Source organism: Homo sapiens, chromosome 2, assembly GCF_000001405.40.
Source record: "Homo sapiens chromosome 2, GRCh38.p14 Primary Assembly".
In the NCBI taxonomy this organism is placed as follows: Eukaryota; Metazoa; Chordata; class Mammalia; order Primates; family Hominidae; genus Homo; species Homo sapiens.
The window spans coordinates 189,900,040-189,927,875 of NC_000002.12; the positions used below are offsets into that span (position 1 = coordinate 189,900,040).

Genomic DNA, 27,836 nt, shown 5'->3' on the forward strand with positions numbered 1-27,836 from the left:
GAACAGTAAATATAGTCATATATTTTCATGTCATTAATATAGACTAGAATCACTATCTTGCTTGCAGCATATTATTTCATTATATGAATTTGCTAACAACTTAAAACAGTATTGAATTGTTGCAATTTAGTTTGTTTCCAATATTTTTAATTATAAACAATTGTTTATAATGAAATGCATTTTTCAAAAATATATGCCCATTTGTTTGTTTCTTCGGGATAAATTCACAAATGTGAAATTTTTAGAACAAAGAATGCGACTTTTTTTCAAGTCCAACAGAGCCTAAAGGTTAAAAAAAAAGGAATGTGACTTTTTCAAGAAGATGTTTTGCATATTATCACATGTATTCCCCCCCAAAATGATAGTTCTTAACGGTCAGTGGAGATTTTCTTGCACCTTTGCCAACACAAGCTATCTTTGCTCAGCAAGCAAATAAAATATCCAAATAAAATATCTCAGTATTATTTTAATATGCATTTCTTTGATTACTCATGAATATGAAAATATTTTAGTATGTTAATTAGTAATTCTATTTTTCTTGTGAATGCTGTGCTCTGTCTTTACCAGTTTCTTTTTTTTCTGTTTAGAGTGTCAGTATTTTATTATTTGTTAGAACTACTATACTGGGGAGTAAAACTTTGTCCCATATGTTGTGGGTGTCGACTCTCTGGGGCCAATGTCATGTGGGCAGTAAAAAGAATTTACCAAGACAGTTCCAGATAAAGAAAGGCAGGTTTATTAGAGAAAGTATGAAAATGCGTTGCAAGGGCAGTGGGCAAATGGGCAAGACAGGAGCTGACTGCAAGGAGACAAAGGCTTGCTGGGGATTTTATGGGATGATACTTGTGCTTTGTGCTGGAGAAGGCTACGTACGCTACTGATAACACCAAGGTTGCAGTGAGCTAACTTGCATTTTTCTATCAGCCAATGGTCTGGTGATAAGTCAGCTGCAGGACGATTGTGAGTTATTTGCACGGGAGGTCTGTGTCCTGGACCAGAGGAAAGGCAGACTTAACAGCTTATCTGCTTTCTCTTTTTGCTTTCCCCTGCTCCTGTCAGCCTGACCCCTTTTCTCTTATTAGGACTCTACACTATATTCTGAAAAAAAAATTACTAATTTATTATGTGCATTGAACTTGATGGTGGTATATTTTGCCATGTAGATGTTTTGGGGTTTTTGTGTCATCAAATATATTAGAGAGTTTTTTTTTTAAACGATTTTTGCTCTTGGTGTCCTTCCTAAAGAGAATAATCACAATTTAAAATTACGTAAGTAGATATTTATGTTTTCTTGTTCTTCTTTCTTTTCTTTTTTCTGAGACAGAGTCTCACTCACTTGCCCAGGCTGGAATGCAGTGGCGTGACCTTGGCTCACTGCAACCTCTGCCTCTGGGTTCAAGCTATTCTCCTGCCTCAGCCTCCCGAGTAGCTGGGACTACAGGCAAATGCCACCACACCTGGCTAATTTTTGTAGTTTTAGTAAAGACGGGGTTTCATCATGTTGGCCAGGCTGGTCTCAAACTCCTGGCCTCAAGTGATCTGCCCATCTCTGCCTCCCAAAGTGCTGGGATTACATGTGTGAGTCACCATGCCCGGCTGCATTTTGATAAAAATCTTTAAAATTCATATGGAAATTCATTTGGTATAAGAAGGAACATGGGTATTTACCTTTTTTCCCCAAAAATGTTAGCCAGTTGTCCCTCAAACTTAATAAATAATTCCCATTTACTTGAAATGCTACCTTTATCTTATGCTAAATTATTATGTACACTCAGGTATATCTGCTGTTAGCTATATTCCCTTGACTAAGTTACTGTATGTTTGCATTTTTCTTTCCTCATCTGTCAAATGGATATAATAAACTCATAATTTATTATAAGTACTATGTATGAGTCATTAAAATGTAAATATGAATAAAACACATATATCAACATTTAGCACAATGATTAGCCTAGGGTATATGCTCAGTAAATGAGAGTTATTACTGTTATTTATTTTTATTATTAACATTGATGAGTCTATTATATTAGAACCATACTTTTTATAATTATTGCTATGTAATAAATTTTAATATCTCATAGGGCAAAATTTTCATCTTTATGTTTCTGTGAAGACTAGGAGATTATATTCATCTTCATCTATTAAAATTTTATGTATCTTTATTTAGTATTCTCCACAAGGTATGTAGCTATCTGATGAGATTCTAAATCTTGTTCTTAATTATCCTATCTGTTTTTTTTCCTCCTGAGCATTATTGCTAGGCATAGTCTCTTCTTTGTTTTTTTGTTTCCAATGTTATAGTTTCTTAAACTTAGAAATGTTTATTTTTGTATTTTTGGAGGATTAATATGAGAATTAAGAAGTTTGGCATAATTACAAATGAATTCAGAAAACCTCCATGAACTTCTTGGTAATTTCTGCTTTTTTAATTTAAAAGACGTTTTAAATGCATCATTTTGGAATATTTTCTAAGCTGCATAATTAGAAATTTCTCAGAGAGCTTTTCCTTTCTTATTTTTTCCTTAAAGCTTTGGATTCAGTATGTCAACTGGTATGTGGTATCAGTATTAAAAGTATTACATGAGTGCTAATATGCTGTTAAAGTAAACATGTATAGGATATAAATACCATCTATATTAGGTCTCAGAAATTATTCCTTTTTAGTCAAGCCATATTTAGAACTATATGTAAAAACTGTATACTTCGCTTTTCAAATAGGTGCTCTTTTTTTTCATGATTCATTTTTTTTTGCTTGAATTTAGCCAATAGGAAAGAGTAGAAATAAGGAAGGTTATCGGTTTCACTGTACAGCTCGGTGGCATATATTTTCCTCCCCTTTCACTGTTAAAGTGCATTAAATAAAGTAAGTCTTTATTAATAATCTCTTAAAGAGATGATGAGATAAACTACAGAGGAAAAAAAAACTGACTAGCCAGTGGGAGATGTAGAATGAGGGAAATAATTTGGATTAACAGGATAGATATTAGAGGATATCTTAAAATAGTTTTTTAAGTGTCTTCCCTATAGGAAAAATTTGAATTGAAAGCCATCGAGAAATTATTTATAAATGGAAAATCAGAGAGTAAAAGATGGGCAAGATAGCTATATACCTTATATAACTACACATTTTTCTGAATAATTTTTCTTGAGAGGTATGAAAACTTTAAATGCTGAATATGTTATTAGGTTAATTTTAATTATAGTAGCAAATTACTGGTTGAAAAACCAAAATAATATAAATAATATGAAAAATAATGATTGCCATGTATTTAACTTATATTAAACCTAATCTGTAAATTTCTAACCACTAAGCTTAGATAACAATTATTTTTAAAATACTGCACAGTAATTTATATTCATAATGATGATTCTTAGAACAAGGCAAGGTCTTGAGGATTAAATTTTTTTCATTGTAGTTTAAGTATACCTTAATTATTATATTTAGTTTTTGTAGAATCAATAATGAACATTGTTATCACCATTAGATTCAGTAAATATTTGAATGCCATTCATATGTAAACATTAAGTGAATTCAAACTGTTAGAGCATTCCATTTTGGAAAAATGGGATGATACATTGCCTGTAAAGATGTACTTTATTTAAATTTTGACTTTTATTTTAGATACAGGGGGTATATGTGCATGTTTGTTACATGGCACTATTATATGATGCTGAGGTTTGGGGTATGGATAACATCACCCAGGTAGGCAATATAGTACCCAATAAGTAGTTTTCCAACCCATGTTCCCCCACTACTTCCCCTGATCTAGTAGTCCACAGTGTCTACTGTTCCCAAATTTATGTCCATGTGTGCTCAATGTTTAGCTCCCACTTATAAGTGAGAACATGTGGTATGTGGTTTTCTATTCCTGCCCTAATTCATTTAGGATGATGGCCTCCAACTGCATCTATGTTACTGCTGATTATGTGTATAACTTGTAGAAAGTAAACTTAGCATTTTATAGTCATTTTTGTGTGGAAAAATTTGAATTTGCAAGTTTTAAATGAGAGTGTTTAAAAGATTATTCAAAATTTACTTTCTTTGATTTATGTACAACTTTTAATAACATTTGTATAGCTTGAAATAAGTTTAGTTACATATGATGAGTAGTAGTATCTACATCAAGAAATAGAATGAGCAAATCAATAATTACATTGCCTTATATTTATGTAGTGCTTGATGCCTTAGAAATTGCCATCATATACATTTTTATATAATCCTCGCAGCAATACTGTAGGTCAATACTCTGTTTTGCAGATGAAACACAAAGTGCGTAAGTGACCAACCCAAGGTTAGGCCCTTGTAAAATCCCTTTACTCTTGGTTTAGTAGTTTTCCCACCATGCCAGCATTATACACAGGTTCTTACAGAATTATGGTGCCAATTATACTTTGTCATACAGGCAAATTATATGTTTCTTGTTTATCTCTAAATATATTTAAGCTGTTAACACAGAATGGGAAAAGGGTACGTTACTGGATTCCTTAATGTGAAATGCAAAAACAATTTTCTAGGGAGTCATCATCATTATCGTTTTGAGGACAAAAATCTGTTTTTTAAAGTCACTTTTGTGGTAAGATATTTGAAAAGCAATTGTTTTCCAAATTTTTATGCAGTTATTGATGTTAATGAACATCAGTCTTTAATCCTTATGTTTACACAGCCTATCTTGAGAGAAAATATGGCACAAAAGAGATAATTTTATGTATTACAAAAAATACTGGCTCTAGAGTGAAAGAACTATGTTCAAACTCTGCCCTTGGCACTTAGTGACCTCAAGAAAGTCATTGATCTCCTTTGAACTTTAGTTTCTCACTTAAGAAATGAAGGCAAAAATACCAGTTATCATCTGACAAGAATATTCGGAATGAAACAAGATTATATATGTCAAAGTTCTATATAGTTATTTTCATTTATTACCACTAAGAGAATGTATATTTATGTATCTCTTCACTTTTCTATCCAACAGAGAAACATGGGGTTAAATAGGCCCTTTGATTCTAAAATTCTATATTCAATAAGTAAGATTTACAAATAAATGTATTACTCAAGTTTTTACCTAAAAGAAAACTTGTTAAAGTCTTTGATAAAGGTAAGACATGTGTAATACAATTATTTCATAATTTATTTTTTCTAAAATATTTGGATTTTTTAGTCTTTTGAACATAGAGACAGCTACAGTTGTATTTCCTAAGAAGCTGACGCTTTAGTTGCAAACATATAATGTCCTATGTTTCCATTTGTATGAAGCTACTTAGAGAAATATTTTGAGCTTTATTATTTTATTGTAAAGATATGAAAATGAGGAAGTTTACCTCATATTCAACAGCTGACTGAATAAAGGATGTAACAAGAAGTATGTAGTTGGGACAAGTTTGATATTCATAATTTCCCTACCTGCCACACACATTGAAGTCTGAATCTCATAGTCACGGGAAAAGTCTGTAGCAGATAAGGTAGTTTTAGATTCTTATAGTGAAAGGAAATTTTATCCTTTTGTCTTCAAGGTCTGCAGTCTATAGATTACCTTGAATTCATTACCAGTATTGAAATTTTATTTAGTATGTTAAAAAATGCTTCCTCCCCAATCTATAGTCAGTTTTTAGTTACCTGTTTGAGGCAGTACTGCATATGAATTTCCAAGCTCTCATTAGCAGTACGAAGCTTTCATATTTTCCTATTTGGGCAAAAGAAAGCTTGGGAATTTCTCTCTAGAGTTTACACTCAGTTTTAGGAAGATAATTTTTACAGTGCAATTTGAAATTTTCTTTCCATGTTAGGGAAGTCTTTAGGCAAGAAGATACCCCAAGGCCGGAAGGTAGCAATTTGGTTTGCCTTTTACATTAATTTTAGAATGGTACATTTTCCTCTAATTTGAATTGGATTGCAGACAAGAGTGAACAGGGTGAAAGAGTGAATGGCACAGTTTTCATATCCTTTTGAATTGGGTATTCATGGTAGACTTTGCATTTTACCTAAAATATGAATTTAGACTGTCACATTTTCACATTCGTTTAAACAGATTTACCAAGCATTTAATATGTCAGGAACTATGCTGAGTAGCCTCCTACTTCTAATCTTAAGTCATTATGTGAGGACAATTATCCTTCTTTTAGAAGGGAGGAAATTGATATTTAATAGAGAAATTAGGCTAAGAAAGAGCTGGTTAGCAACATGTCAGGCATTTGAACCTATATCTCAATTCTGCAAGTTCCTTAACTTTTACAAATACAAAATTATTTTTAAATTATAACATTAATTCCAGTTCACTGTAGAACATTTGAAGAATACAGAATATAAAAGGAGAAAATGAAAATAGCTATAATCTCACCCCCTGGAAATAGTATTTTTAGATATTTTCGTCTAGTCTTTTTGACATATTTTACATAACTGGGAACAGTTATGTTCTTTCTTCCAGAAAGTAGGAAGTTTTCAGATTTACCTGTTAGGACAAAAGAAAGCTTGAGAATTTCTCTCTAGAATTTACACTCAGTTTACACTCTAGAATTTACACTCTCTAGAATTTACACTCAAAAAGAACAAGACTGTGTGTACAGTGTGTATTCCATTGTATAAGCATTACCCCATGTTTTAAAAATAATTTTGTGTTATTTTAACTAGCTGCATAGTATTCCAACATATAGATATACAACTATTTATTTAAATATTCCCTTATTTTTGAACATTTCAGTTGTTATAATATGTCTAACTTTTTGGTTTAAAGTTTCTATGTATCATGCAACACTTAAATAAATTTACAAGCATAAAAAAAACCAAGAAAAGTATTTGCCTGATACATAATTGCTACCTCTTATGAGAATTTTAAATTACATGAGAAATTTCAATTTCATGTGAAGATAGCAGGGTACTAAGCTGTACATATTTTAAAATCCCAATTATGTTAATTATACACATGCTCAAATGCACAGGCAAAAAGACTGGAGGGAATTACATAAAAGTCTTAAGAGTTGCCCTCATCTCTCACCTAGGTTATTAAAATAGCTTCCTAATTGACCCCTTAATTCCACTTTTGCTTCCTTCTATTCCATTCTTCACACAGCAGCCAGACCAATCCTTGAACTACAGAAATCATTTTAAGTCATTTCTCTGTGTAGACCTTCCAGTGACTTTGTCACAGTGAAATCCATAGTCCTTGCCATGGCCTACAAAGTCTTACATATATATGGGTCCCACTCCCCAACTTTTATTTTCTCTCTGATTTTAATCCTCTACCTCCGATCCCATGTTTCATTTCTCTAGCCACACTGGCTCCTTGGCTGTTCCTTCAAGGTGTCAAGCATGCTCTTTTCTTTTCCAGTTGCTATTCCTTCTGGAATGCTCTTCCTCAGGATACCTGCAGTATTTGTTGACTCACTTACTTGAAGTTTCTGCTTGAATATCATCTTATCAGAAAAATCTATAAATGCTATAAAATCTATCATTCTGTAAAAAAATGCATCATTCTATACTATATAATCTACGTTATTTTATTTTTAGCACACACCTACAGTACGTTTAATGGTTTGTCTCTACTCACTAGAAACTAAACTTCATGATGATAATTTTTTTTAGTTATTGCTGAATCCCCAGAAACCTCAACAGAGCAGGGCATGTAGTAGGCACTCAATAAATATTTGTTGAACAATAGTGATTTTGTCTGAGTAGTAGAATTATAGATAGTTTTAATTTAAAATTTTCATTATATTAAGCAAATATTATCATATATATATAAAACCTAAAACTTTAATACATTACAGTTATTCTCTGGGAATTTACCCATTACCTCTGGGTTATCCAACTTATTGGCATACAATTGTTCATAGTATTCTCTTAGAATCCTTTGTGTTTCTGTGGCATCAGCTGTAATTTCTCATCTTTAATTTCTGATTTTATCTGAGTTTTTCTTTTTTCTGAGTCTAGCTAAAGGTTTGCCAATTTTGCTTATTTTGTCAAAAAAATCGTTCTTAGTTTTGATGATCTTTTCCATTGTCTTTCTAGCCTCCATTTCATTTACTTCTGCTCTAATCTTTATCATTTCCTTCCTTCTGCTAACTTTAGGCTTAGTTTGTCTTTCCTCTTCTAGTACCTTAAGGTGTAAAGTTAGGTTGTTTATTTCAGATCTTTCTATTTTCTTCATGTAGATGTTTATTACTATATACTTTTTTTTTTTTTTGACAGAGTTTCACTCTGTTGCTTAGGCTGGAGTGCAGTGGCATGATCTCGGCTCACTGCAACCTCTGCCTCCCAGTTTCAAGTGATTCTCCTGCCTCAGCCTCCCAAGTAGCTAGGATTACAGGCACGTGCCACCACACCTGGCTAATTCTTTTTGTACTTTTAGTAGAGATGGGGTTTCATCACGTTGGCCAGGCTGGTCTTGAACTCCTGGCCTCAAGTGATCTGCCCACCTTGGCCTCCCACAGTGCTGGGATAACAGGTGTGAGCCACTGTGCCCAGCCCTATATACTTACTTCTTAAGACTACTTTTGCTGCATCGAATAAGTTTTGACATGGTGTGTTTTCATTTTTGTTTATCTTAAGATACTTTCTGATTTCCTTTTGATTTCTTTGACTCATTGGTTGTTCAGGAGCATGTAATTTAATGTCCACGTATTTGGGGATTTAAAAATGTTTGTCCAGTTATTGATTTCTAGTTTCATACAATTGTGGTTGGTAAATATATTTGATATGATTTTCAATTTCCTTCAATTTGATAAAACTTTTGTTGTGGCCTAACATATGCTCTGTCCTTAAGAATATTCCATGTGTACTTTGGAAGAATGTGTATTGTGTTACTATTAGATGGAATGTTCTATGTGTGTCCCTTAGGTCCACTTGGTCTACAGTGTAGTCCAAGTCCAGTGTTTCCTTATTCATTTTCTGTCTGGATGACCTATCCATTCTTAAAAGTGAGATATTGAAGTCTCTCACCATTATTGTATTGCTGTCCATCTCTCCCTTCAGATCTATTAATAGTTGCTTTATATATTTACATGCTCCAATGTTGGGTGCATGTATATTTACAGTTGTTGTAGTCTCTTGATGACTTGACCCCTTTATCATTATATAATTATCTTCTTTGTCTCTTTTTACAATTTTTTAATTTCAAGTCTATTTTGTCTGATAGTAGAATAGTCACACTACGTTCTTTTGGTTGCCATTTGCATATAATATATATATATTTTTTCTTTGCTTTTAGTCTGTGTGTTCTCAAAGCTAGAGCAAGTCTCTTGTAGGCAGCTTATGGTTGGGTCTTGTTTTAATAAAAATTTCAGTCACTGTATCTTTTGATTGGATAATCTAATTTATTTACATTCAAGATAATTATTGATAAAGACTTATTGTTTATCATGTTAATTGTTTTCTGGCTGTTTTGTAGATGCTTTGTTTCTTTCTGTCTCTCTTGCTATCTTCCTTGGTGATTTGTTAATTTTCTCTAGTGGTTTGCTTTGATTTGTTTTTTCTTTATCTTTTTGGTATCTATTGTAGGTTTTTGCTTTGTGGTTACAATGAGGCTTACATGAAACGTGTTATATTTATAATAGTCTATTTTAAGCTGATAACTTTCATTGCATACAAAAACACTATGCTTTTACTTCTTCACCTCTACATTTTATGTTTTTGATGTCATAGTTTACACTTTTTATATCATGAATCCATTTACAAGTTATTGTAATTATAGTTACTTTCAATATTTTTGTCTTTTAAGATTTCTTAATTTTATTAGGCAAAGAAGTCAACGCTGATATGGTAAGGTGTAATATTTACTGTACAAAACATTTGAATAGTTATTTTATTAATGGTCATTTGTATGTTTCTTGTATGTATCATCCACTTTGATGATGAATAACTACTAGTTTCGATAGTGATAATTATGTATCAAGGTGTTTTTTTTCAAGTATAAAACTGATTTCTTTAACACAGGTCACATGTCTATAATGAAGAAATATGCTTTGCTTTAATTTGTGCTTGGATAGGCTTCCTATGTATAAGGTCTTGTGTTATTGGATATATTCTGAATTTAGCTTGATTTCATTCAGTAATTTATCATTTGAAATTGATGGGGCAGACATTTACCTTTGTATTATGAAATTACTAAATAAACAAATGTGCAACTACAAGTGAAAGAGTTATTTAAATTACTTTAGAGCAAACATTAAAAGCCATATTTGCATAAAAGTCATGATAATTTATAACACCTACTTTTTATAAAGGAAATCTTGTAGAACAGGATACGTGGTTTTAGGAACTAGTTTGATAGGCATTAAGGATAACAGTTGCAGCCTTATATCAGCATTGGGTACAGTGTATTACTTTATTGTGGTTTGTTGTTTTGGCTTCACAGTATCACAAAAATCTTGATTCACAGATAGCAGTATTGTTGCTCTTACCCGAATACTTTCCTGAGAGTGAATATGGTCAGGCCAAACTACTATAAACCAAGAGCTTCATGCAAAACTATACTTTCCTAATCAATTGTAGTATCATAAGAATTTGGAATGTGTTCAAAGATAGAAAAAAAAAAGATTTTAAGATATATTCTCTTTTTCTCTTCTTTCTTTTTCTCTCTCTCCCCCCACCACCATCTCTAATTGTAAGAGACAAAGCGTAACCATATTTTTTTGCTGATAATCAGTATTTAAAACTAGAATCAAATTAAATTGCTAATATGGTGCAATATAAGTCACTTACTTAAATTCTCAATGAACGCAACGACACAGCTCTTAGGATATAAAACAAGGTGATATGTAGCATATGTAAACTTTTAAAAGGGTGTTTATAAGGACTATTTTGTAACTTATTACTTATACTAGAGATTGGATGTTATTTGACTTAAGCCAAACCTCAGTATCTATTTTCTTTTTAAGCACTGTTCACATTTAAAGGAGAGGCATAGTTTATTCCATGGATTTAAGTTAAGCTTTTAACATACTTCTCTAAAGGAAATTCCCTATATGTTATTTCTTTCTATGGATTTACATATTGATAAAAAGTTTATTTGAATTGTTGGAAACTAGAAAATGTACATGAGGAAGAATTTTACTCCATCTGAGGAAAGAAAGGTGGAAGGAAAGAAGACTACTTAGGCTTACTACTTAGTGTCTTTAGAATTTACCATATGGATAACCACATCTTGGTTGTAAGAATTACGAGTAACACTTTGGGATTTTTGAAGTTTTATGGGACACAAAAAGCTGAGATGTGTTACTCTTCGTACCATTTTATTAGGACCCATTTGAACATATGGTTATAATTATGTATTTGTTACTAATTTTGGAGGATGTATGTCAGTTTTTGAAATTGAAGTGGAGGTACATGCATTAAGATTACTGAATTTTGAAGGGGATTTCTAGATTTTACTGATCTCTTACTTTCCTAAAATTTTTCAAGCCACAGCTGTAATTTATTATTTGATAAGTGGTTTGTAGTAGCTATTCAAGTACTCTGTAATGTCAAACACTATGCCAGTATTTATCTCATGATTCTGATCATATTTATGTGTGGTAGAAAAATAGTCAAATGTTTAACATAGAAATTTGACCAAATTTATAGTTTACTCTGGAAATTTGACTAAATTTATTGTATACAATATGAATTAGAAAAATTCAGGAAAGGAAAGCTTTTGGTTATTAGAAACATCTATCCTGTAGTTTCTTTAAAGGCTGATTTTTTTAAAAGCATTAAGCAGTCATTCTTACTGTCTTTAATGACAATTCATTTTATCCCTTGGTTACCATTTTGCTTTATTTTCTCTGACTTATTTGGATTAATTGCTTTAGCAAACATTGTTTAAAAATTTTAATTTTCTAATATTTCTTAAAAAGCTCTATTTGTTTTTTTCTACTCCTAGTTTTTTTTTCTATAGTTACCTCAATTGTTTCTTTTAATAATACAAACTGGTTGATTTACCCTTCCTTATGAACATCAGAATAGAAAATAAATATGTAATTACTTTAATATATATGTATATCCAGTTATGGCAACAATTGAACAATTTAATATAATTTTGCATGTTAAGGGAGCTTAGAATGTACATTGTACTTTTTGTAAGTTGGTATACCACACAGCATGTACATAATTACATATAATAAGCCTTATTATTTGTTTTTTTCAGTTGTTTTTGTTTGTTTTTCATAGAACCAATTCAGTTTTTTCTTGATAAACATTCTAACTTATGCTGTTATAATTAAATATGATAAATATTAATATAGCCTGGATATGGCTGGGTGCGATGGCTCACACCTATAATCCCAGCACTTTGGGAGGCCGAGGTGGGTGGATCACTTGAGGCCAGGAGTTCGAGACCAGCCTGGCCAACATGACGAAACCCTTTCTCTACTAAAAATACAAAAATTAGCTGGGCATAGTGGCTCAGACCTATAATCCCAGCTACTGGGGTGGCTGAGGCTGGAGAATTGCTTGAACCTGAGAGGCAGAGGCTGCAGGGAGCCAAGATCGCAACACTGCACTCCAGCCCGGGCAACAGAGCGAAACTCTTGTCTCAACAACAACAATAACAACAAAAAGATAGTTTGGACAAATGGTCACATATAGTAATTTATGAAGGCCAAGGACTTTTGTTTATATAAACAACTCAAATTGATGTATCATGTGATTTATTATTGTCTCTATGCTTTTGATTAATTTATGAATCAGTCAGTCACATAGTTCATGGTAACATGTCATGGTTAACATGTCAACATTTTACTGCATGTTAGGCAGAATTAAGCTTTATTAAATTTTGCAGTAAAATTAGTGTTTTTCTTGATTCTTTTGACGTGAAAAGTTACTTCCTATGTTTCTTTTCAAAACCTAAGCAGCAAACTAAGAATTTTCATTTGTCATAGTTGATTTCCAAAAGGACCAGAAAAACTGTTGTAACATAATAGCTTGGCTGAGGACACTGTACCGCAAAGCTGTAGAGTATTTTATTTTAATTTAAAATCATCTATACCTGAGCTAAAGAGAAAAAGGATCTACTGGGAGAAGATCTGATGCTTTGTTCATCTTGAATAAGCAAATGTATATATTACACTTTACATGTTTTTCCTCATGTATATATTAAAATATAGATATAGTCTCAATGATGCTTTAAATGTACATGTTAATGAACTTCTTTTTCTAAACCTAATTTGACAAATGTCTTTAATAAAAGAAAAGAAAGCAACTGGAACACCTTTGACTCCTTTGATATTCTCCCTTACCTTTTCCTTTCCAAGTTCTGTAATTAAAAGTAAATATAATGGCCAAATTAAAATATTTCACACTGTTCTTTCTCATCAATTCTTTAATGTTTTCATCAATATTGGTTTTGTAATTATTTTTCACTGTCACTTCTGTAATTTATAGATTAAAAATTATCCAGATTTATTAAATTACTAGAATAGTTCTTTTGCCCAAAACACTTTAATATATTTTTTAAAAAAGTAAACAAAAGCCCTCCTAAAACTATATGTTACATTTATTGTATTTGCCAATTTTGATTACTTTGTCATGCTGTAGGGAAGTGATTACTGATCATTTATTATTAAAATATTGGCTTTCCTCTTGGTTCTCTTGGATTAAATACATATGGCTATAGGTTAGCTGGAGCACTGATGAAAATAAATTGTAAGCTCAAACTTCATTATCATTTGTAGCTTAAACATAGTGAATTTGATACAGTGTTACCTCATAATTTTGATGCTCTTTGCAGTAAATTTGATATAGAACAGTTGCTAAAGAAACCCTGTTCAAATGTGTGACCATTTTTATGGAAAACATCTGGGGTAATTATAATTAGTTCAGGATGTGTACTGTTTAAAAATAATCTTGAATTCATGGAGAATGAAGCATATCTTTTCCTTAGTGACTACAATAATCCAAATTAATATGAAAAAAGCCCTTTAGGTTATTGGTAGCTATGCTTAGACTATGCTTTAGAATATTCCATACGGAAATGAGGAGTAACTTTTATGTAAAATGCCAAATTGGCACTTTACACCTGTTAGTGTGTTTCGTTTAGAACAGCTGTGTCTTTTATTATCAGTAAACAGATGCAGAAAGTAATGGAATGTTTTAAAGCAATATGTTAATCCTGTCTTCCACTACTGAACTGTCTCACAATATAGTGATTAAATATTGACTGTGCAGCTGTTACGTACAATTATAGAATTTCTTAGTTAATTTCTCCTTCCCAAGCTCAAATGCTTTAATATTTAGAGATCTAGTTTCTAATCTTAAAGTGTTTCATAATGTAGTTTATTTATTACAAATTGATTTCTGAAGAGAAGTTATTTGAATACTACAGAGACAAATTCATGTTCTTAACATTCTTATTAAATGTTTCTATGAATTGACGAATGTTCTTGGTAGGATAAACAATTTAAAAATTTTATTTGTTTATTTTTCTTCCCTTGTTCATGAATATGAAGGTGATTATTGAATATAACAATTTTGTATGAAACTGCCAGCAGTAAGCTAAATAGGAAATTATGGCTATTTCATGAGACATTTATGAACCAGAGTGTATAATACTTTCTTAGAATGATGAGTATGCAAGTTATTTCAATTATAATAGCCCTTTTGCAGTTTAATTATGTTTTAATTCTTATATTTACCTTGTCAGAGAAGATATTTAAAATGTTGCTTCATTAATTATATGTATTCTTAAGCTTGAGGAACAGTTCTATTAGCTAAGATTGTTATTAATATCTAACATTTATTGTACTCTTAGTATATGAAAGGTATTGTGTGAGGCACTTTATTATAATATTCCTGCCCCATTTTATAGATGAGAAAATTGAAGCTTAGAGACATGAAGTAAATTGACCAAAGTCTTACAGCTAGGAAGTAGTAGAGCCTGGATTTAAACCCAGGCATTTTCACTCTCAAGCCTCTTGTTCTTAACAACTTTACATTTTGCCTGCCATTGGCATCTAATATCAACATTATACTGAGGGGAAATTACGTGCGAAGTAAATTTTGACTGTTCTTTTTTGAAGCCACATTGTTCACTGCAATGTGATTATTAAATCGTTTAGGCAACTTGCCTAAAAAGAAAACGTAATTAAAACATGCATGGAAAGAGAGCTTCACTTCTTGGTATCTCCTCACACAATTACTGTGTTGGTAGTTGACAGTCTACACTAGAACTGTTTTTTTTTAACTCCCTTTATGATTTTACTCTCATTGTACTACTTGCTCAGACAACTCCAGCAATTTATTTGTTCCTCTTCCTAAAAATAACCTTTGCTTCTTTGCCTCAAGAGTTTTAAAAGAGCAGCATGATGTAGTTTTTACCTATGTTACGTTATTTATGCATTAACCAGGCAATATCAGTTATTATCAAAACTTTTATTAAATGACATTCCTCTGTCAGGATAGTCATTACTAACTACTTCTATATTCTTAGTTTGTTATATCATTTGTCATAGGATGTAACCCCATTTTATATATGAAAAAACTGGGACCTAGAGATATTAAGTAAATTGGCCAGGATCCCAGCTAGCAAATGATGTTTGTGTCAATTTGATTTTTTTTCTCAAAAGAAAAAAATTTGAAATTTAAAGTGTACAACTAATCATTTCTTAGAGGGTTTTAAGACTTCAAATTTCACCAGATGGTTACTTAAATATAGTTTCCCTTGACACTGATGAGAATGCTTATAAGATTAACTAGGATCAGCAATGTCATGAGGTATTGCCGGGGGAAATTTAATATATATTAGAAATCCATTATAAGGTAATTCTTAAGGGGCACAATGTTCTTGGTTGCAAGCTGTCTAAAATATAAGAATAGATGTATCTTTGCATGCAATAAGATGAAATGTCATGTTTATAACAGATTTTAAAATGAAAAATATATTTTTTGCTCAATTTAATTAGCTATTCTGTACTTATTCAGCATTATCATTTTATTTAAATTTTTATTAGTGTCTCCATCAAAACTAGTTACCCAACACATAGAATATAAGATAAACAATTAAGCTATCACTTTATAGTGTGTAGCATAGAGCTTTCCCAGGCAGATATAATTATTTGGATTTTGTTTTTGTTTTACATTTTTGAAGTCTTTTAAAAAATAAAACTTTTACTTTGGGATATTTGTAGATTTACATGCAACCATAAGTAATAGAGATCTTACGTACTTTTCACCCAGTTCTCCTCAATGGTAACATATTGCAAAACTATAGTACAATATCATAGCCAGGACATTAGTGTTAATATACTAAAGACAGAATATTTTCATTGATCCCTCATATATTATACTTCTATAATTTTCTATAATTTTCTTCCTTTTTCTTTTTCTTCTTTTTTTTTTTTTTTTGGAGACAGAGCTGTCGCCCAGGCTGGAGTGCAATGGCAGGATCTCAGCTCACTGCAACCTCCACCTCCCAGGTTCAAGCAATTCTCATGCCTCAGCCTCCTGAATAGCTCAGATTACAGGCATGCACCACCATGCCCAGCTAATTTTTGTATTTTTAGTAGAGATGGGGTTTCACTATGTTGGCCAGGCTTGTCTGGAACTCCTGGCCACAAATGATCCACCCGCCTCGGCCTCCCAAAGTGCTGGGATTACAGGTGTAAGCCACTGCGCCCAGCCTATACTTAAATAATTTTCATATGCCTGTACTAGAAGTCTATAATTTTGTTATTTCAAGAATGTTACATAATATGGAATCATACAGAATGTAAACTTTTATGATTGGCTTCTTTTAAACTCATTTTAATTCTCTGAATTGTCATCCAGGTTGTTAAATGTATCAGTAGTTCATTCTTTTTTACTCCTGGGTAGTATTCCTTTGTATGGATGTACCACAGTTTGTTTAGTCATTTATCCATTGAAGGACATCTGAGTTATTTCCAAAACAGAGTAAAATCTGGTTTCATTCACCGTATAATTTATAGTTTTCCGTTTTACTCTTCAGTTCATGATTGATTTTTTGTTTTGTATGAGCTTTTAATTTTTTCATTGGAACAGGATTTGGGGGTGGGGATACTAAATGTGGCAGGGTTCAACAAATTTACATTTTATCAAAATAAGGTTCTTGAAGAATATAATGATAACATATACTGTAACTCTTATAGCACAAACCCTCATATTAATTGAAGGTCACAGAAAAATACTGTAATGATTTAAACAAAAGTTTTAAAATACATCAATGATGCAAGTTTCAAACAAAATGCAGTGATCAAAATACTTAACTGTCCTTTCATCAAGCTTTTACAAACACTGTCTTCGCTGTCTGAGCAAATCAGTTTTGGTTTCTTCATGGTCCTCCATCTGTCTTTTAACATGACACTTGTCCGGTTGTTGAATTTATAATGCAATAGTATTTTAGATCAGTTTCCCTCTCCATATTTCCTCATGCCAGATCTCAAATTCTTGTCTTCTTCTCAAAACCATGTCTGTTTTTTTTCTAGCTCGATGTTTTTCAGGAATTACTGGTTGACTCTTTGAAACAGATATTCTGCTTTCAGGGGCTCTTCTGCTTTCTTTTTTCTTTTTTGCACTTTGAAGAGCTCTTACTCTTCTTTCTTTCTTATTAAGGTCTTATTGCTGGGCTCCACATTTCAACTTAGATAAGAAAAGATTCTTGTGAGACCTTTTTCTTGTATCCAAGTTAGCTTCAGTTTCTATTTCGGTATCATTACCATTAGGTTGATCTTGAGAAGTTATTGTTCTTATTCTTTTACTTTCTACTACTTTTGCTGCTGCCTTCATTAGAAAGGTTGATGAATCCACTCTGCCAATTTGTGTTTTTTAATTGATGGAGTAGGACCATTTACATTTAATGTAATTATGGGCTTTAGCCTGTCATTTTAGATTTTTTCTGTTTCTGCTGTTTTTTATTTATCTGTTTTATTTTTTCTGCTTTCCTATGGGTCATGTCAAAATTTTTTAGAATTCCATTTTGACTTATCTTTAGTGTTTTTAAATATCTCTTTGTATAGTTTTTTAGAGGTTGCTCTATATATTACATTATATATACATAACTTATCATTGTCCACTAGTGTTGTCATTTTACTAGTTTTAGTAAAGTGTAGAAACCTTACCTCCCTTTATGTTTTTTTTACCCTCTCCTATTTATAATTGTCTTAAGTACTCTACATATGCTTAGAGCCCCAGGAGACAATATTATATAGATAATAGACAATATTATACTTGTTGTTTCATCCATTAAACATAACTTACAAAACTCGATAGAATATATAGTATTTATCTATGTTTTTTACTTATCATATTTCTTTCTTCCTGATATTCCAAGGTTTCCTCTTTAATTGTTCTTTCTGGTTAGAGAACTTTAGCTATTCTCATACAGTGGGCCTCCTAGTACCACACTCCCTTTTCCTTCATCTGAGAATGGCTTGATTTACCTGTCATTCCTGAAGGGTATGATTCTCAACATCCAGTAAAAACACCCTAGACTCAATTATATTGACTAGATATCACTTCACACTCACTAGTATGAGTATAATTTTTAAAAGAAAATAAGTGTTGGTGAGAATGTGGAGAAATTGTAACACTCATACATTACTGGTGGGGATGTAAAATGGTACAGCTGTTATAGGAAATACAGTTTTGAGTTAAAGAGTTAAACATAATTACCATATAACCCAACAATTCACCTCTCCAGTATATATCCCAAAGAATTGAAAATGGTAGTCAAATATATAGTTGTACACAAATGTTCATAGCAGCACTATTCACAATGGCCAAAAAGTGAAAACCTAAATTTCTATCAATAGATATGTTGTCCACAAATGTAGTATATCTATAAAATGGAATATTTTTCAGCCATACAAAAGAATAAAGTACTGGCACATAGTATAGTGTGGATAAACCTGAAAAATATTATGTTAAGTGAAAGAACCCAGGTATAAATATCACAACTGGTATGATTCCATTTACCATAGTCCCCCCTTATCCACAGTTTTACTTTCCATGGTGTTAGTTACCTCTAGTTAACCATGGTCCAAAAATATTAAATAGAAAATTCTGGAAATAATTCATAAGTTTTAAATTTTGGCACATTCTGAATAGTGTGATAAAATCTCGAAAGACTATACGTAGGGTTTGGTACCCTCTGCAGTTTTAGGCATCCACTGAGGGTCCTGGGACATATCCTCTGTGGACAGGGGGGACTACTGTATATGAAACTTCCAAAATAGGCAAACCCATAAAGACAGAAAGCAGACGAGTAGTTGCCAGTGGCTGGGGGAAGGGATAGATGGAGAATGACTGCTTAATGGGTGTAGGGTTTCCTTTTGAGCATTAAAAATGTCTTGGAACTAAAAGTGATAGTGGCACAACAGTATAGTGGATGTACCAAATGTTAATTAATTGTGTACTTTTAAATAGTTAATGGTTAATTTTATGTGAATTTTTACATCCTTTTTTTTCTTTATTCTAAAAAAAAAAACAGGATACATGTGCAGAACGTGCAGGTTTGTTACATAGGTATAGGAGTGCCATGGTGGTTTACTGCACCTACTGACCCATCGTCTAAGTTCCCTCCCCTTACCCCCACTCCCCAACAGACCGTGGTGTGTGATGTTCTCCTTTCTGTGTCCATGTGTTCTCAATGTTCAGCTCCCACTTATGAGTAAGAACATGGGGTGTTTGGTTTTCTGTTCCTGTGTTGTTTGCTGAGGATGATGGCTTCCAGCTTCATCCATGCCCCTGTATAGGACATGATCTCATTCCCTTTTATGGCTGCAACATCACTTTTTAAAAAGCTGCTAGAGAAAGCTTCACTTTATGTTGTCTCTGTAGAGTCATCTCTAGCCTGAGTGTGAGCCTGCTTGTGTACATTCCTTATCCCTTCATCTTGCCCCTCCTCCATCCTCTTCCTCTATCTGCCTTCCTTCTTCCTTTTTCTCCCTTCCTCCCTTTCAGGGCTTTGATATAAAGTGGCAAGTAGCAGCCTACACACACAAACATTCTGAGTTTTTCCAACAAATTTCACTACACCTACAATAGTCTATCTTCCATGTTATTGTAGGATACAGTTGTGCCAGATTTGCTGTGGCTTAATCAGGATAATTTACTTTCCAATCTACCATTTCTATGCCCTCACCATTGCTGGTCAACCATATATTCTCAGTTTGGTTCTGGTAACACCCCACTTCCAGTATTGTATTTTATATTAGATTTGTTTACTATAACATAAAAAATATAAGTGTATTCTTCTCTCATGGAGTCATCAATATAGGACTGATATGGCAGTTTGAAGATGTCAGATTCCTGGGCTTCTACACTTTTCTTGCACTATCATTCTCAATATGTAACTTCCATCTCATGGTCTAGGATGGCTGTCCTAGATCCTGCCATCACATTTACGTTCCCACCAGTAGGCAGAAGAAGAAAGGAAAGTAGAGAGCATTATGTTGTTTTCCTTTAAGGCACAAATAGAAGTTGTACACCATTCTGCTCACACCCAGCAGCAAGCAAGGCTAAGAAGTGCAGTTTTTATCTGGATGGATATGCCTAGCTAAAATGTAGTGTTCTATTCCTAAAGAAAGAGAGATGAATAGAGATCTTAATGGATAAGAAGCAATCCTGCCCCAAGGCCTGAGGGTACCACTATTCAATTTATACATTTCTGCTTAATTCCTGTTTTCAAGGCAACAGTTCAGTCCCACTTTCTTCTGTGTCTTGTGTCACAGTGTCTGAAACCTTTTTTGTTCAAATTCTCCAGCCCACAAATTTCTAGCATACTACAGGAGAAAGAAGGAATGGAAGAATAATGACCTGGCCAAGTGGTAGAAAGAGGAAAGATCTTGGAACCCAGTTCTCAGCCTGCCCACTCACCCTGTCTTCCGGTACTTGATGCCTTCAAGGGTTAATGCTTTCTAGGATTTTCAGGGTGTATTGTCTTTCTTCTCATCAGGATAACTTATTCTGGCCCCTTCTGTTGTGCAAAGTCAATTGCTACACCTCCATCTACTTTATATCATCAGGAAATGTGAACTTTCTCACCCACTGATAGACCTTTTTTCTTTTTTCTTTGTCTTTGTGGAATTATACCTTTATGATTCCTTAACTATCATTTCAGCGGAATTTCTGCTAGAAGAAGAAAAAAGCATATGGTCAATTTGCCGTGTTTGCCTGAAAGCTTTATATTTACTATTTTGTGTGAAATGTGTTTTGTAACCACACCATACTTTCTGTTGGTACTGTTTGCCTTAGAACTTTAGTTTTAAAGGTGGTTAGAGGAAGACAAGCAAAGAAGGCTGATAAGAAATAGTTAACAAGAAAAGTCAGGAAAATGTTGTGTCATAGAAGTTGAAAGAAGAAATTATTTCAGAAAGAATAAAATGGTCAGCTGTGTACAGTGCTGCTGAGAGGTCAAATAAGATGAAGACAAACCTGTGACCATTGGATTTGACAACATGAAGTTATTGGTGAATTTGTCAAAAATAATTTCATTGAAGTGATGAAGATCCCCAATATGGTGATTTGTAGAGATTAGGAGGTGAGGGATTAAAGGCATAAACTATAGGTATCCCTTAGAAGATTTTTTTAAAGGAGCAGAAAAATGGATGATAGTGAAGAAAGGTAGAGAATTATGGATAGATTCCATTCATCCTTCCTATTTTTAATATGGGCAATAAATAGCATGTGTATGTGCTAATGGGAATGTTTCAATAGAGAGGGAGTACTTCACAATGTAGAACAGAGAACAGAGTAGACCTAGAATTAGTTTGAGTAAAAGAGTAAGATCATCAGAATTTGTGTAGTATGATCAGCTGGCAGTCAGGAAGGTGTGCAGACATATCACCTTCTCACACATAATGAAGAACTATTAATTTGTTCACCTGACATTAAACAGATATTATGAACACCTGGATATGCAAAGTACTGACTGGGTTAGGCTCTGGGGAAAGGGTGATAGTTGTCTCTGTCCTCATGGAACTAGCAATTCATTAAATAGAGAATTTAAAATGAATTGGTAAGTATAAAGAAAGATAGGGGAAGTATAGGGTGCTGGATGAGCACATAGCAGAAAGGTTCTGGAAGAGGTAACAATAAAGTAGAAATGTGAAGGATTAGTGTGAGCTAGCCAGGTGAAGAGGGAACAATGAAATTGGCAGAAGAAATAGCATATACAAAAGCCCAATAATAAGAGAAACCTTAAAGAAGTTCTGTTTGGCTGAAGCTCACTAGATAAAAGGGTAATAGCAAGAAAGGAGACTGAAAAGACAAGGATCATATCATTGTAACTTTTGTTAAAGTGTTGGCTTTTGCTGTGGCTGGTCATTGAAACATTTTAAACAGGAATTATATCAGATTTTAGAAGAAAAACAATTCTGGCTACTGCTTGCAGAATACATCAAAGGAGAGCCAGAAACAAGGAGACCAGTTCGAAAGCTATCAGCTTAATCCATAACCAATATGAGTTGTCTAAACTAGACATGGGTATAGAGAGAAGTAGGTAGATTCAGCAGATACAGTTGATCCCTGCTGGTGAATTCTGTATTTGCAATTATGCCTACTCACAAAAATTTGCTTGTAACCCCCAAATCAGTACTTGCTGTACTTTCACAGTCATTTGTGGACATACACAGAGCAGCAGAAAAATTTGTGTTGTCCAATGCACATGTTCCCAGCTGAGGTTGAACAAGTCAACATCCTGCCTTCTTTTAGTTCTTATACTGTAAACAAATATCTTTTTTACCTATTACTTATTGCTATGTTTTTCTCATATCTGCACTTTTTATTGGTAATTTTAAAGTTTAACCTGGCCCTAACCATATTTTTAAAGTACTGTCTATATAGTGTTCCTCAGTGCAAGAAGGCCATGATGTACTTTATGGGGCAAGTATGTTTGTTAAGATAAGCTTCTACTGGGTGCGGTGGCTCATGCCTGTAGTCTTAGCACTTTGGGAGGCTGAGGCGGATGGATTGCCTGAGCTCAGGAGTTCAAGACCAGCCTGGACAACACGTTGAAACCTTGTCTCTACTAAAAATACAAAAAATTAGCCGGGTATGGCAGTGTACGCCTATAGTCCCAGCTACTCAGGAGGCTGAGGCAGGAGAATTGCTAGAACATGGGAGGCGGAGGTTGCAGTGAGCCAAGATCGCACCACTGCACTCCAGCCTGGGCGACAGAGTGAGACTCCATCTCTAAAAAAATAAATAAATAGGCCATTTTGTGAAGAGACGAAGACTGAGCGGTTGCGGCCGCGTTGCCGACCTCCAGCAGCAGTCGGCTTCTCTACGCAGAACCCGGGAGTAGGAGACTCAGAATCGAATCTCTTCTCCCTCCCCTTCTTGTTTTCGGCTTTGTGAGAAACCTTACCATCAAACACAATGGCCAGCAACGTTACCAACAAGACAGATCCTCGTTCCATGAACTCCCGTGTATTCATTGGGAATCTCAACACTCTTGTGGTCAAGAAATCTGATGTGGAGGCAATCTTTTCGAAGTATGGCAAAATTGTGGGCTGCTCTGTTCATAAGGGCTTTGCCTTCTTTCAGTATGTTAATGAGAGAAATGCCCGGGCTGCTGTAGCAGGAGAGGATGGCAGAATGATTGCTGGCCAGGTTTTAGATATTAACCTGGCTGCAGAGCCAAAAGTGAACCGAGGAAAAGCAGGTGTGAAACGATCTGCAGCGGAGATGTACGGCTCCTCTTTTGACTTGGATTGTGACTTTCAACGGGACTATTATGATAGGATGTACAGTTACCCAGCACGTGTACCTCCTCCTCCTCCTATTGCTCGGGCTGTAGTGCCCTCGAAACGTCAGCGTGTATCAGGAAACACTTCACAAAGGGGCATAAGTGGCTTCAATTCTAAGAGTGGACAGCGGGGATCTTCCAAGTCTGGAAAGTTGAAAGGAGATGACCTTCAGGCCATTAAGAGGGAGCTGACCCAGATAAAACAAAAAGTGGATTCTTTCCTGGAAAACCTGGAAAAAATTGAAAAGGAACAGAGCAAACAAGCAGTAGAGATGAACAATGTTAAGTCAGAAGAGGAGCAGAGCAGCAGCTCCGTGAAGAAAGATGAGACTAATGTGAAGATGGAGTCTGAGGGGGGTGCAGATGACTCTGCTGAGGAGGGGGACCTACTGGATGATGATGATAATGAAGATGGGGGGATGACCAGCTGGAGTTGATCAAGGATGATGAAAAAGAGGCTGAGGAAGGAGAGGATGACAGAGACAGCGCCAATGGCGAGGATGACTCTTAAGCACATAGTGGGGTTTAGAAATCTTATCCCATTATTTCTTTACCTAGGCGCTTGTCTAAGATCAAATTTTTCACCAGATCCTCTCCCCTAGTATCTTCAGCACATGCTCACTGTTTTCCCCATCCTTGTCCTTCCCATGTTCATTAATTAATTCATATTGCCCCGCGCCTAGTCCCATTTTCACTTCCTTTGACGCTCCTAGTAGTTTTGTTAAGTCTTACCCTGTAATTTTTGCTTTTAATTTTGATACCTCTTTATGACTTAACAATAAAAATGATGTATGGTTTTTATCAACTGTCTCCAAAATAATCTCTTGTTATGCAGGGAGTACAGTTCTTTTCATTCATACATAAGTTCAGTAGTTGCTTCCCTAACTGCAAAGGCAATCTCATTTAGTTGAGTAGCTCTTGAAAGCAGCTTTGAGTTAGAAGTATGTGTGTTACACCCCCACATTAGTGTGCTGTGTGGGGCAGTTCAACACAAATGTAACAATGTATTTTTGTGAATGAGAGTTGGCATGTCAAATGCATCCTCTAGAAAAATAATTAGTGTTATAGTCTTAAGATTTGTTTTCTAAAGTTGATACTGTGGGTTATTTTTGTGAACAGCCTGATGTTTGGGACCTTTTTTCCTCAAAATAAACAAGTCCTTATTAAACCAGGGGAAAAAATAAATAAATAAATAAATAAATAAAAATAAGCTTCATTATGGTATGAGTTATACTGCTGTTAACCATGAGCTCAATGTTAGTGAATGAAAGGTGTGTTTAAACAGAAACACACTTTCTGTCCTAGACAATAATCTCTTCTCATTATACTCATTTAACCTTGAGGGAGGGGGTTTCGCCTCACATTTCTGGCTTCAGAAACCACGTATTGCACATATGAAAGTGAACCCAAAGATTATCCTATCCTAAACTGTTCCTGAGATTCATTCATACCCACAAACAGACCTATGAACATGTCCAACTGGATGTCTTTTAGGAACATCTAACAATGTTGTGTGTTGACTGATTGCTGAAAATCTGTGACCAGAGGCTCACAGGAATGTAATCCTCGGTGGTTTAGTGTTCACTAATTCAGTATTCATAGCAACTTTATAAAATATAACTTATGCAAATAATAATAATCTACTCAAGTAATAGAATATACTAGACTTAATAGTTCCTTAGATGGAGGTAATGATGAATGAGAAATAAAAGATAATTCCCAGGTTTTTGTCTTATACAAGTGATAGTGACATTTATGAAAAGAGGAAGAGCAGTTTTCAGGGAGGCAGTAACCATAGGGGCTAGAGATAATAAGTTTAGTTTTTGACATGTTGAGTTAGATGTTCCTGAAAGACATCCAACTGGACATGTCCATAGGTTCATTTGTGGGTATGAATCTCAGGAACAGTTGAGGATAGGATGATCTTTGGGTTCACTTTCATATGTGCAATACATGTTTTCCGAAGCCAGGAATGTGAGATGAGACGCCCTAACCCAAGGTTAGGGTATAAGATGAGAAGAGATTATGGTCTAGGACAGAATTTTGAGAAATGTCAGTAAAGAGATGACTAAAGGAAGAGGGCATGCAAGGATACTAGAAGCAGAGTAGAGAGAGAAAAAATCAAGAAAATATACATTATCAAAGCCAGAAGAAAAGACCATTTCATGAAGGAAGGTGTTTGTATTATCAAATGTTATCAAGAGATTAAGGACTAAAAAGTATTCATTGGATTTAGTGAAAAGTACATTTATAGATCTTTCTGAGGATAGTCTCATGAAGTAATGATGGAAACTTAATTATACTGGATTGAGTAGACTGTGAAAAAGAAATCTGATTTGAAATTAATCTAGATACTTTTTCTTTAGTTTCTAAGTTTTCTGTTCAACTTTTGCATTATCATTGATATTCGGTTGATCACATATAAGCAAGAGATATAGGCATTTTTTCTTGACTATTTTCCAAGGATGAACCCACTAAATCTCACTGTTTATGGAGCTTTCCATTTCACTCTGTGGAAATGACACAATATGTTCCATCTCTGCACAGATAGAAAGATGCGCAATGATTTTTACACTTTTTTTGTTTTGTTTTGTTTTTTGTTTTTTTGAGACGGAGTCTCACTCTGTCACCCAGGCTGGAGTGCAGTGGCGCGATCTAGGCTCACTGCAAACTCCGCCTCCTGGGTTCACGCCATTCTCCTGCCTCAGCCTTCCGGGACTACAAGCGCCCACTACCATGCCCCGCTAATTTTTTGGGTTTTTAGTAGAGACGGGGTTTCACTGTGTTAGCCAGGGTGGTCTCGATCTGCTGACGTCGTGATCCGCCCGCCTCGGCCTCCCAAAGTGCTGGGACTACAGGCGTGAGCCACCGCGCCCGGCCTTTTTTTTTTTTTTTTTTTGAGACGGATTCTGTCGCCCAGGCTGGAGTGCAGTGGCGCGATCTCGGCTCACTGCAAGCTCTGCCTCCCAGGTTCACGCCATTCTCCTGCCTCAGCCTCCTGAGTAGCTGGGGCTACAGGCGCCCGCCACCATGCCCGGCTAATTTTTTGTATATTTTTTAGTAGAGACGGGGTTTCACTGTGTTAGCCAGGATGGTCTCGATTTCCTGACCTCATGATGCGCCCGTCTTGGCCTCCGAAATTGCTGGGATTATAGGCATGAGCCACTGCGCCCGGCCTAATTAATTGTTTTTCTAAGAGCAAGGATCTTACTTTGTTGCCCAGGCTGGAGTCCAGTGGTGTGATCATAGCTCACTGCAGCCTCAAACTCCTGGATTCAAGTGATCCTCCTACCTCAACCTCCCAAGTAGCTAGGGCTATAGATGCACACCACCATGCCTGGTTAATTTTTTTTATTTTTATTTTTTGTAGAGACAGATCCCTGTCTCTCTGTTGCCCAGGCTGGTCTTGAACTCCTGACCTCAAGTGATCCTCCCACCTCAGCCTCCCAAAGTACTGGGATTACAGGCATGAGTTCCCATGCCCAGCAATGAACTTAATTTTGCAATACCTTTGCTACTTTAAATATTCAGTACTCAGGCTGAAATCTCAGTTCTATGCTCTTTCTTTTCTGCTAACTATAAAAGTTTAGAATAGCTTAATATATTATACACTTTTGGTCAGAGAGTGAATAGTTTATAGAGTATAGAGGAGTTTTTTTAAAAATGAAATCGAATTAACAGTTGAACATTCACATTTCAAGAACAAAGTGAAAAATAGTGTACAAATAAGTTTTAGTGAGAATAATATTGATTTTATGCAGCTATTCTTTTCTTTTTAACTTTTAATGTGCGATAATGGTAGACTTACAAAAATAGTATGAAGAATTCTGTATACACTTCACCCAGATTCTCAAAATATTAACGTTTTACCACATTGCTTTACCATTCTTTCTTTTCTCTGAAACATTTTGAAGATTTTAAGTTGTACACATGATGCTCCTTAACCTCTAAACAGTTCAGTGTTTTTTCCCTAAAAATAAGGATATTCTCTCGTGTAATCTTAATACAGTCATCAAATCAGGAAATTAACATTGATATAGTACTATTGTCTAGTATATAAGCCTGTGCTGTTCAGTCTGGTGGCCACTAGCCATATGTGGCTATTTAAATAAATTAAATACATTAGAAATTCAGTTTCTCATTTCAGGCACTCAGCAGTCCAGTGGTTAT

General features: G+C 34.4%; 1 protein-coding gene and 2 pseudogenes across 2 annotated transcripts in view; 2 read left to right on the top strand and 1 right to left on the bottom strand.

Moving 5' to 3' along the window:
• Positions 1-27,836, top strand: part of AKAP19 (A-kinase anchoring protein 19) — a 323,923-nt gene that overhangs the window by 20,478 nt on the left and 275,609 nt on the right. The window lies entirely within an intron of this gene.
• Positions 17,015-17,719, bottom strand: TERF1P6 (TERF1 pseudogene 6; annotated as a pseudogene).
• On the top strand, positions 23,130-24,851 carry HNRNPCP2 (heterogeneous nuclear ribonucleoprotein C pseudogene 2; annotated as a pseudogene).